The 12,275-nt window shown below is 42.1% G+C and overlaps 1 protein-coding gene across 7 annotated transcripts in view; it reads left to right on the top strand.

Moving 5' to 3' along the window:
• Positions 1–12,275, top strand: part of TEX11 (testis expressed 11) — a 397,485-nt gene that overhangs the window by 371,974 nt on the left and 13,236 nt on the right. For 4 of the 7 annotated variants that reach the window (XM_017029649.1, XM_017029650.1, XM_017029651.2 and 1 more), the window contains 2 exons: positions 6,739–6,903; positions 8,546–8,617. In XM_017029649.1, the coding sequence (XP_016885138.1) occupies positions 6,739–6,903; positions 8,546–8,617 (237 nt within the window). Of the gene's footprint in view, positions 1–6,738; positions 6,904–7,550; positions 7,799–8,545; positions 8,618–10,627; positions 11,030–12,275 lie in introns of those variants that run through there. The other 3 variants (NM_031276.3, NM_001003811.2, XM_011530994.2) reach the window with 2 other exon arrangements.

Raw genomic sequence — 12,275 nt, 5'->3', positions numbered from 1 at the left:
TTTAAAACTATAAAATGATATTAATTTTAAAAGTATGGCATTAGTGCAAAAATCTACAAAGAGATTAATAGAACAGGACTGAGCCCAGAAGGAGATCCACATATCTATGAGAATTTTGTATGCAATGGAAAAGGTATATCACATCACTGAGGGAACAATTGGTAAAATGGTATTGGGACAATTTAAAAAGCAAAGTTACGTCCTTATTTTTAAACTGAGGGGCGTTATAGCATAGTGGTTAAGAGAACAGACTTTGGAGCCACATAACCAGTTCAAATAAATTCTGGCTACACCATTTATTAGCTGTATGACTTTGGTCTTATTAATTAATTATGTATACCTCTGTATCCTCATCTGTAAAATAAATATAATAATAATCTCAGCACTTTGGGAGGCAAAGGCAGGAGTATCGCTTGAGGCCAGAAGTTCAAGACCAGCCTGGCCAACATAGCGAGATCTTGTCTCTATGAAAAATAAATAAATAAATAAAAGCTAAAAAAAGTGCCTACCTTACAGTATTATTAGTATTAAATAACTTAATATATATAAAGTACTTATAGCAGCACATAGTAAGTACTATATAAGTGATAGTATTATTTTTTTGCCTTATACCATGCACAAAAATAAAGTCCAAAAGGAAGAAATAAAGAAAATCCAGATAGATTAAAGAGCTAAACATAAAATCAAAGCTATAAAAGCATTAGGAAAAAACAGAGGAAAGCATTTTTTTAAATCATGGAATGGAGAGGACCCACTCAGAAGCTGTATAAGAAACAAATAGTTTTGGTTACATGAATTAATAAATAGCACAAGATACCACAAAACATTTTAGGCCTGGTGGAGTGGCTCATGCATGTAATCCCAGCACTTTGGGAGGCCGAGGTGGGAGGTTCACTTGAAGCCAGAAGTTTGGGACCAGCCTGGGCAATAAAGTGACACTCTGTCTCTATGAAAAAAAAAAAAACCCATAAGTTTTGTGGGTTTTTTTTTGAAATGGAGTTTCACTCCGTCACCCAGGCTGGAGTGCAATGGCATGATGATGGTTCACTGTAGCCTTGACCTCCTGGGCTCAAGAGATCCTCCCACCTCAGCCTCCCAAGTAGCTGAGACTACAGGCACATGCCACTACACCCAGCTAATTTTTTGTATGTTTGGTAGAGATGCGGTTTCACCATGTCTCCTAGGCTGGTCTCAACCTTCTGAGCTCAAGCAACTCACCCTCCTTGGCCTTCCAAAGTGCTGGGATTATAGGCATGAGCCACCACACCCAGGCAGATATGTATTTTATACTTTGGGTTATAATACAATATTACTTTATTTTATTGTTCATATTGTTCTAGCTTTGAAAAAGTCTGGCAGCTTCCCAGAAGGTTAAACATAGTTACCCTGTGACCCAGAAATTCCACTGGTAGGTGTATACCCAAGAGAAATGAAAACATGTGTCCAAAGACTCATAGCAAATGTTCATAGCAAAGTTATTCATATAGCCCAAAATGGAAACAGCCTGAATGTCTGTTAGCCAATGAATGGGTAAACAAAATGTGGTATTTCCATTCAATGGAATACTATTTGTCCATTGAAAGGAATGAAGTACTAACACGTGCTATAACATGGATAAACCTTGAAAACATGGTAAGTGAAAGATGTCAGTCACAAGGGCCCACATACTGCCTGGCCCCATTTATCTTAAATGTCCAGAAAAGGCCAATCTATAAGAGACAGAAATGAGAGTAGTGGTTGCCCAGGGCTTAGTGGGGTAGGGGGGCAGGTTGAGAGGAAATGGAAGGATATTGGCTGGGGGCAGGGGGAATATGGAGCCAATGGGCATGGGCTTTCCTTTTGGAGGAATGAAAATATTCCATAATTGATTGTGATGATGGTGGCAGAACTCTGTGAATACTGTGAATATACTAAAAACCACCGTATTGTACACTTTAGATAAACTATGGTATTTTATTTAATTGTATCTTAATAAAGCTGATGCACATACTATTTACTTTGGGAATCTATGGAGAGCCTAAAAGGACAGGCATTTGTGCTCCAGAATACCTACGATTCAGTTAGAGATCTACGTGGCTGCCATATGTATTAAGATGTTGAGGACAGAGAAAACTGGTTTAAAATATGTGGCCCCAAAAACCATCAGAGCAAACACCTCAGTTTGCTGACATTGATTTGTATTACACGTAGGCAAGTCCATGTGGCTTTCAGGTCAGTAGCTGTGTGGATGCATTTCTTTATTGAGGATTAATGATTTTCATAAGCAATGCTGGGCATGAGGGCAACTAATGCAAATTAAAATAAAACTCGAGTGTTCCCTAACTCATTGGATGACACCATCATTCTTCTGGTTGCCCAAGCCAGACATCTAGGAGTCATCCTCAGCACCTCCCTCACTCCCACTTCTAATCTATCACCAAGTACTATCAATCAATTTGACCTCCCAAATATCTCTCAAATTCATCTACTTCCTCCTATCTTTCACCATCAGTAACCTAGTTCAAGTTACACACCTTTTATCTTAGCTAGTTTAGTGATCTCAGGAACCTTTTAACTGGCCTCACATCTACTCTTGCTTTCTTCCTTCCTTTCTTTGCCCAGCAACCAAGGTGATCTTTTACTTTTTTTTTTTTTTTTTTTTTTTTTTGAGATGGAGTCTCGCTCTGTCACCAGGCTGGAGTGCAGTGGTGCAATCTCGGCTCACTGCAACCTCTGCCTCCCAGGTTCAAGCGATTCCCCTGCCTCAGCCTCCCCAGTAGCTGGGACTACAGGCACCCGCCACCACGCCCAGCTAATTTTTGTATTTTTAGTAGAGATGAGGTTTCACCATGTTGGCCAGGATGGTCTCGATCTCTTGACCTCGTGATCCGCCCACCTCGGCCTCCCAAAGTCCTGGGATTACAGGTGTGATCCACCATGCCCAGCCAATCTTTTACATTTTTGAGTATGCATGACCTTTTGAAATCCTCTTTAGTAGTTTCCCATTGCTCTTAAAATAAAGACCAAAATCTTGAATGTGGTATACAAGATCCTACTAACCTATCTGTCCTCATCTTGAGCCACTCTTTCCCTCACATTCTGCACTGTCAGCCACACTTTACAAGACCACAAATTACCACCGTCTAGGCAAATATGATGGTCTCTTTTCCCTGGCCTTCGTTATTGACCACTGCCTCCTTATTGAAATTCTGTTTTCCTTTGTCCTTTATTTTCTCGCCACTCCTCTGCGTTCTTTTCCCTCTTACCACCCAACTATGAACATTTCCAATATTCTCTACTCTTTGCTACTCTGTATTCTGTACTCTGTCCTTTAAGTGAATTAATACACTTTAACTATTACCTGAGTTCCAATCCATATCTGCAACAGCCTGCTTATCTCCAGAGTTACCTCAAGCCAACTTGTTTAAAATAGAACTTATTGTTGTCCCTTATCCCCAGAAACATGTCCTTCAATTTTTTCTTTCAGTGATGCCAGCATTCTTTCAGCCATTCAAACTACATACCTTAGAGCCATTTTCACTTGACCTGTCATTCCCCATATCAAATCAGTTACCAAATTCTATTGATTCTTCCTTTAAATGATTCTTACATCCGTCCATCTAAATTGTCACTATTTTAGTTCTGACCCTCATCACTTCATTCTTAGATCACACAACTCCTTTTATTTTATTTTATTTTATTTTTATTTATTTATTTTTTTGAGACAGAATCTCGCCCTGTCGCCCAGGCTGGAGTGCAGTGGTGCGATCTTGGCTCACTTCAAGCTCCGCCTCCCAGGTTCACGCCATTCTCCTGCCTCAGCCTTCCGAGTAGCTGGGACTACAGGTGCCTGCCACCACGCCCGGCTAATGTTTTGTATTTTTAGTAGAGACAGGATTTCACCATGTTAGCCAAGATGTTCTTGATCTCCTGACCTCGTGATCTGCCTGCCTCGGCCTCCCAAAGTGCTGGGATTACAGGCACAAGCCACCACGCCGGGCCTTTATTTTATTTTTTGAGACGGAGTTTGGAGTTTCACTCTTGTTGCCCAGGCTGGAGTGCAATGGCACAATCTTGGCTCACCACAACCTCCGCCTCCTGGGTTCAAGCGATTCTCCTGCCTCAGCCTCCCGAGTAGCTGGGATTACAGGCATGTGCCATCACACCCAGCTATTTTGTATTTTTAGTAGAGACGGGGTTTCTCCATGTTGGTCAGGCTGGTCTCGAACTCCCGACCTCAGGTGATCTGCCCGCCTTGGCCTCCCAAAGTGCTGGGATTACAGGTGTGAGCCACTGCGCCAGGCCATAACTCCCTTTAAACACGTCTCCCTGTCTGTGTTTTCCCACACGGAGGTCTGTTCTAAACACCACTGGCATTTCTATCTTATTAAAACTACACTTTCATCATATCACTCTCCTTCTCAAAAAGTTTCAGTGCCTTCCCGTTGCCAGCAGGATAAATTTCAAAATCTGAAGCCTGTAATGCAAAAACCCTTAACACTCCAGCCCACAAGATGTTAGCAAACGTTCCACATACCCTGGATTAGACAAAGTTCCATGGTTTCTTTACTGTAAAACTTCCCTAAACTTTCAGTGAACTAGTGTGCATTATAATGCTCCAAAAGGGTGATATATAGAATGCGGCATTTCCAAAATGTATTTGACTAAAGAACTCTATTTTCATAGACCATCTGTTAACATTTCTCATGACACTAGTGTTCTGAGGAAGAACATTGAGGAAAGGCTTAGGAAGCTCCATCCTACATTTCCAGTCTTATTTCCCGTTAACTCCTCTACATAAATCGTCTGCTTAGGCCAAAGAACTCTTGGTCTTCCTAAGACATGCTTGTTCTCAAGTACAATCCAAGTCTTCATTTATTCTGTTCTACCCACATGGAATGCCCTTCTCTTTCTCTGAATATCTATATTTTTCTTTTTAATTGAGATTTAGTTCATATATCATAAAACTCACATTAAGGTATACAGTTCAGTGAGTTATAGTATATTCAAAAGATTGTGCAACCATCACCATTATCTAATTCTAGAACATTTTCATCATCCCCAAAAGAAACTCTATACCCATTAGCAGTCCTTCCCCATACCTCCCTTCCCCAGCCCCTGGCAACCACAAATCTCCTTTCTGTCTCTATGGCTTTGCCTATTCTGCACATTTCATATAATCTCTGTATATGTAGATCCTACTCATCTACCCTAAGATCATGTTTGTTTGTTTGTTTAAGTCATTTTTTTCATTCACAACATTAAAATCACAACACTCATACCCTGTATCAGACACTGTGCCAAGCAAAGGCAAATGTCATTTTACCTTCAAGGGGCTCCCTGCCTAGTGGGGGAGACAGGCAGTACAGTGTTCAAAGTACTATTATGGTGCTGTGAACAAAGTAGCAGAGGGGCAAAGAGGTTTGAGCAAGAAATTGTGGAGAGCCAGGGAAATCCTCACTGAGGAGGTGGCATCTGACTGGATATTGATTCATTTGTTCATTCATTCATTCAGCAAACATCTGTTGTGCCTCTTATGTGCCAGGCACAGTGCTGGACTCTGAAGATACAAAAATGCACAGGAAAAATTCCCTGTACCTCAAGGAACTCAATAGTCTGGAGGAGATAAATACATAGCATTTCAAAACAATATAACATAAGTTATATTAGAGGAATGGAAAGCTCACTGTGGGAACAGACAACTAACTGTTCTTGTGAATTTGAAGAAAAAGTATAAGTCTATGAAGTGGACAAGGATGAGGAGTAGTGTTTCAAGCAGAGACTAGACCGCCTCTGACTGGAATATCCTAGTGCTCATTTCTTTAACTGAATGAGAGCACCTAATGTTTGTGTCTCTTAATCACATACCTTGTGAAGTCGTCTTTACATGTGGATGCCTTGTGTCCCCAAAAGCATTGCACAACCTTTAGGATAAAAGTTTTGTCTTTTCCCTCTTAGTGCCCTCATTATCACAGTGTTTTATGTATAGTAATTTCTTTTTGGATCCAAATGAATGAAAGGATGACAGCTGAGACAGCATTCTTGACACTCTCAAAAAGCTGCTGCCTAATGTGTCTCCTATCACATTTCTCCCTTCTGGGGCTTTAACATGAATGCTTTCTTTGTGTTCCATCTCCTATGCAAGAACCAAGAAAGTAGCTTCTTAGACTAATACTTTTCACTATTGCAAAGTATTGTGAAGAAGCAAATATAATCTTGTGATTAGTCATGTTAAAGACCACTGATAAGGCTAAGGGACCATCTTAGAAATGTGTGCTGTGTTCATAGCTAGGTAGATATCGTTAACTCTGAAGATGAATATAATTTCTACTCCAAATATGGACTAATTCTGGTGACAGAAATTAAGAAATTCAATAAAACTGCTTCTTGACAACCTTATCCGAAAAGTAGAGGTAGGTATTAGGGAGGTAATTGACTGAAGACAGAATCAAGGGAAGCCCCAAACAGTATGCAAGTTTTTCTCGTGCCTCAGGAAGATTAGGAATCTTTCTAATTCTTTCCTTCAGTCAGAGAGGACCTCGGTTTACGTCTCTTCATGAGATCTTGCTATGGAACATTCTACAGCTGACAAACCTTCAAAGTGCTCTCCTCCTGCACTCTCCAGGAGCACAGACCTTCCTAAACATCAGCAGAGCTCCTATTGTTTGTTTAGTAATAAAGGGACATAGCATGGATACAGGTAGTGCCACAATGAACTGTGACAGTAATAACTGCAAAATTTCTGTTCTTGGATTATAGAAAGACTACCCAGAAATGGAGATTCTCTGGCTGATGGTCAAGTCCTGGAATACCGGAGTACTTATGTTTAGCAGGAGCAAGTATGCATCTGCTGAAAAGTGGTGTGGCCTGGCCTTGCGTTTCCTTAACCACCTTACCTCCTTCAAGGAAAGCTATGAAACTCAGGTAAGGAGGGAGAGGGCTAGGGCAGATGACATGACCTAGGGGGCAAGAGGTTATGGCTGGGCTCTCCACAAGGACTCAACCCCATCCTCCTTGGCTAGGAAAGGATCTTGCTCATTGTTCCTCTCAATGGTTCCACATAACTTCAAGAATCAGGAGACCATAAACAGTAATTCCTTAGAGCAAAAACCAAGAAGGACAGAGAACAGGGGGAAATTTAAGGATAGCAAATGGAATCTAATTAAGAGGAATGCCAAGAGTGAGCTCTGGAAAGATGCATCACTGTCAGTGCCAGTGCATGTGGGAAAGGACTGGCCTCTGCTCAAAGCAATAACTGTTGAAAAAGGCATTTTCTCCAGGAACTATTCTCAGTTGCAGAGTTCTGGGCCATTGGCTAACCAGGAGAGGTTTGGTAGAGAAAAAGCCTTGTTACCAAATAAGAGCAAAGGATATTTTATAGTTAAGTATCTTCTCCCTTATAATAGGGGATTCCTTTTCCTCAAGAGAGGACTGTATTTTCTCCCCAAATCTGAGATGCTTCAGATCTCCGAAGGTAACGGTTAGACTTTCATGCCATCACCGTGGGTCTGGGAAGCTTTCCCACATTTCTTTTTCCCCTCAAGAAATCTATTTGTTGTTCTCTTTCCCAGATGAATATGCTGTATAGTCAGCTTGTGGAAGCATTGAGTAACAACAAGGGCCCAGTTTTTCATGAACATGGCTACTGGAGCAAGTCAGATTAGGCAAGCTCATGGCCACATGAAGAAGATACATTGTCCCGAGATGCTGACTGTTTAAATTTTTGCCAGAGTTTCTCTTGAGCTTTTGTTTCTGTTTGCTCAGACCCTGTTTTCATGTTGTTGAATAAACTTTCTAAAATAAAAGCATGCTGAATTTACCTTGGTGACCAGCTCATTTCTGGGGGACAAATGAATTTTCCAAAGTGCTAAGGATGATATTGAAATAGACCATGTGAGAGCAAGATGGTTTATGCCCCATCTGAACAAAAGAGAATGTTCATCCCAGTTCAACACAGATTGCATTTTATTCCCAAAGTGCTCAAATTCCTAATCCCTGAAGATATCAAAGAATCCCAGACTCTTATTTGGAAGGACCTTAGTGGTCACCAGGGCCAGCATTTATCTGATTCATGAAATCTCTCTCTAACATCCTTGAGAATCTGTTGCCCAGTTTCTAACAGAACTTATTCCAGGCCAGGCGTAGTGGCTTGTGCCTGTAATCCCAGCACTTTGGGAGGCTGAGGTGGGCAGATCACTTGAGGCCAGGAGTTCAAGACCAGCCTGGCCAACATGGCAAAACTCCATCTCTACTAAAAATACAAAAAAAAAAAAAATAGCCAGGCATGGTGGCGCGTGCCTGTAGTCCCAGCTACTCGGGAGGCTGAGGCAGGAGAATCGTTTGAACCCAGGAGACAGAGGTTGCAGTGAGCTGAGATTGAGCCACTGTACGCCAGCCTAGGTGACAGAGCAAGACTCCATCTCGAAAAACAAAAAAAGGAACTTATCCCATGACAGGGAATTCCTGAGATAGCTGAACCCACCTATTTTGCTAATTGGTAAAATGTCCTACCTCATACTAAACAGAAGTCTGTCTCCCTGTAACAAATCTGCTTCCTGTGTCACAGATGCCCCTTGGAGATGCCTCTGAAGACAGAAGCCAGGCCTATCTTTGTCCTCCAGGCTTTTTCTCCTTCGAGGTAAACATCCTCAGACCCCTTAGTTGTTCCTCATGTGATCTGGTCACCTCACCTTCCAAAAGCCAAGCCCCATGTTCCAGTGAGGCCTGACCAATACAGTTGAGCAGCCTCTTTCTGGGTAGACTGGCATTAGTGTACCATAAGATTACACTACCTTTTTCCTCCAGTTGATTTGTATTAACATTTTTAAACTTTTGATTTTGACATAGTTTCAGACTTAAGTTGCAACCAAGCACAAAGAATTGACATACACCCTTTATCCAGCTTCTCTATTTATTTTTTACCACATTGCCTTCCTGTCACTCTCTCAGTTTCTTTCTGAACCAGTTGAGATTAATTTGCAGACATCCTGCCCCATTTCCCCTTAATGCTTCAGTGAGTATTTCATAAAAACAGGGATACTCTCTTACATAACCACAGTACAACCATCAAAATTAGGAAATTAACAATGATTCAATTCTACCATCTAATCCACAGACCGCATTCAAATTTCACTGATTGATTAACTTAGTAAAGTCCTTCCTAAGTTCAGGATTATAAGTTGTATTTAGTTGTCATGCTTCTACCATCTCCTACAAACTGAAATGATTCCTCAATCTTTCCTTATCTTTTATGACCTTGACATTTTTGAAGAGTACAGGCTAATTACTTTGTACCATGCACCTCAATTTAGGTGATTCTGATGTTTCCTAATGATTAGCTTCAGTTTATGCATTTTGGGTAGGCATACCACAAAAAAATGATGTGTTCTCAGTGCATCATACCAGCAAGCACACAATGTCAATTTGCCCTGTTACTGAAGTTAAGAAGATGTCTGCCAGGTCTCTCCAATGTAAAGTCAGTAGCTAAATATTTTGTACTTAGTGGTTAATAATTAATTATGAGGTACTTGGTGGAAGATAGTTTGAGACTAAGTAAATACCACATTCCTCATTAAACTTTCACCACTAGTTTTAGCATCCATTGGTGATTCTTGCCTGAACATTTGTACTGTGATGGTTGCTAAATGTTGATTTTTCTGCTTCCATCATTCCTTCTTCATTTATTAGTTGGCATTGGTAAGGTAGAGGTTTTTCTTCTCCCCTATTTATTCATGTTTTTAAAATACATTTTAGTACAGACTAATGGATTCCTGTTTTATTAAATGGGTTATAAGCCATTATCATTATTTATTTTGCTGCCCAAAGCTGGGTCCTACCCCCATTTGACATGTCCCCATCATTCTTTCAGCACTTCCTTATTTTGTGGCACAATAAGATGCACCAGAGCTTATCTTGTACTTTCCCTGTGCCAGACCCGGAATCAGTCATTTCTCCAAGGAGCCATGATGCCTTATAACAGAGTGGTAGTGTCCAAGATCTGGGTCCTAGAGGTGTACTCATTGTTACGAGGGTGACATTATTTCTAGGTCCTCTCAGTGGACAGAGCTGGGAAATAAATGTGTGTATGTGTACATACGTATAGATGAATGTATATGTATACGTGCACACATAGAAAATCATGAGTTCATACTGATAGCTCCATTTTCTTTTCTTTCTTTTTTTTTTTTTTTTAGACGGAGTCTTGCTGTGTCGCCCAGGCTGGAGTGCAATGGCACTATCTCGGCACACTGCAACCTCTGCCTCCCGGGTTCAAGCGATTCTCCTGCCTCAACCTCCCAAGTAGCTGAGACTACAGGCATGTGCCACCACGCCTGGCTAATTTTTGTATTTTTAGTAGAGACGAGATTTCGCCATGTTGGCCAGGCTAGTCTCGAACTCCTGACCTCAGGAGATCCACCCACCTCGGCCTCCCAAAATGCTGGGATTATAAGCATGAGCCACCGCACCTGGCTGATGATAGCTCCATTTTCAATCCAACACCAGTGGATTTATTCTAGCTTTCTCCCCTTTCCCTATTTGTAACTCTTTCAACATTGAGAAGCCTGGCTGATTAACCTCCGATATTCACTTATTGGCTCATTCTCTCTGTATGATCCCAATCTCCTACTCATTTTGGTTGTCTCCCCAGCCCTAACCTCACCAACCTGACCAAGAGGCTGCCCCTTTGGCCCAAGCCCCAGTGAACACTCTGGCCAACTTATCAAGGGAGCCGCCAGTCTAGAGAGCAAGCAAGCTGAGTCTCTAGCTGAACCTGCCACCAGGCCCTGACCCTGACCCCCGCCGCGCCGAGGAGAAGGGAAAGAAACCACATGGCATCGAAGCAGGCCCTTCATGTTGTTGACTCACCGGGCTCACTGTTTGCTCTTCCCTGCCTTCACCTTAGTTTGCTCCTACTTATCTTTGAGAAGTCGGCTCATGTGTCAGTTCCCTGGAAAAACTTTCCCTAACTAGGCCAGGTTCTCTTATTCTATGCTCTCAGCATTGTTTTATTCTTCACAGCTTAAAATAAATACATTTGTTTGTGGAATAATTTGATTAATGTCCATTTCCCTCAATAGTCTTTAAGCTCCATGAGAGAAGATGTTGTGTTTTCCTCACCATTGTATAATCCCAGGGTCTAGCACAGTGCCTGGCATGCTTTTTTTTTTTTTTGAGATAGGGTCCTGCTCTGTTGCCCAGGCTGGAGGGCAGTGGTGCGATCTCAGCTCACTGCAACTTCCGCCTCCTGGGCTCAAATGATCCTCCCATCTCAGTCTTCCAAGTAGCTGGGACTACAGAGGAGTGCCACCACACTCGGCTAATTTTTCTATTTTTTTGTAGAGATGGGATTTCACCATGTTGCCCAGGCTGCTCTCGAACTCCTGAGCTCAAATGATCTGCCCGCCTCTGCCTCCCAGTGTGCTGGGATTACAGGTGTGAGCCACTGTACCTGGCCTGCCTGGTACTTCCAATAAATATTTGTTGAAAGAAGAATGAAAACTTCTAAGTCTTTTTTTCTACACATACGGCCATTAATTAATGTCTCTGCTTGTACTTCCAGGTTTTTGTGTTTGTTTTTGAAACAGCATTTTGCTCTGTCACCCAGGCCACAGTGCAGTGGCTCAATCATAGCTCACTGCAGCTTCAAACTCCCAGGCTCAAGCGATCCTCCTGCCTCAGCCTCCCGAGTAGTGGGGACCACAGGCATGCACCACCATGATTAGCTAATTTTTTTTATTATTATTTTTAGTAGAGATGAGGTCTCACTATGTTGTCCAGACTGGTCTCAAACTCCTGAGCTCAAGTGATCTTCCTGCTTCAGCTTCCCAAAATGTTAGGATTGCAGGCATGAGCCGCCATGTCCGGCCTACTTCCAGTTTTTAAAACATCTAATTGGCTGGGTGTGGTGGCTCATGCCTGTAATTCCAGCTCTTTGGGAGGCCGAGGCAGGCGGATCCCCTGAGGTCGGAGTTTGAGACCAGCCTGACCAACATGGAGAAACCCCGTCTCTACTAAAAATACAAAAATTAGCCGGACGTGGTGGCGCATGCCTATAATCCCAGCTACTCGGGAGGCTGAGGCAGGAGAATCGCTTGAACCTGGGAGGCGGAGGTTACAGTGAGCCGAGATCGTGCCATTGCACTCAAGCCTGGGCAACGAGCGAAACTCCATCTCAAAAAAACAAACAACAACAACAACAAAAAAACCATCTAATTGATTGTATCACTAATAAATTGCTCTTGCCAGCTAATCTTTTTGGATGCAGAGTCTGTCTTTAAGTATGTTACTTATCCCTC

This window comes from Homo sapiens, chromosome X (assembly GCF_000001405.40).
Source record: "Homo sapiens chromosome X, GRCh38.p14 Primary Assembly".
Taxonomy (NCBI): domain Eukaryota; kingdom Metazoa; phylum Chordata; class Mammalia; order Primates; family Hominidae; genus Homo; species Homo sapiens.
This window is presented reverse-complemented; position numbering and strand designations above follow the sequence as displayed.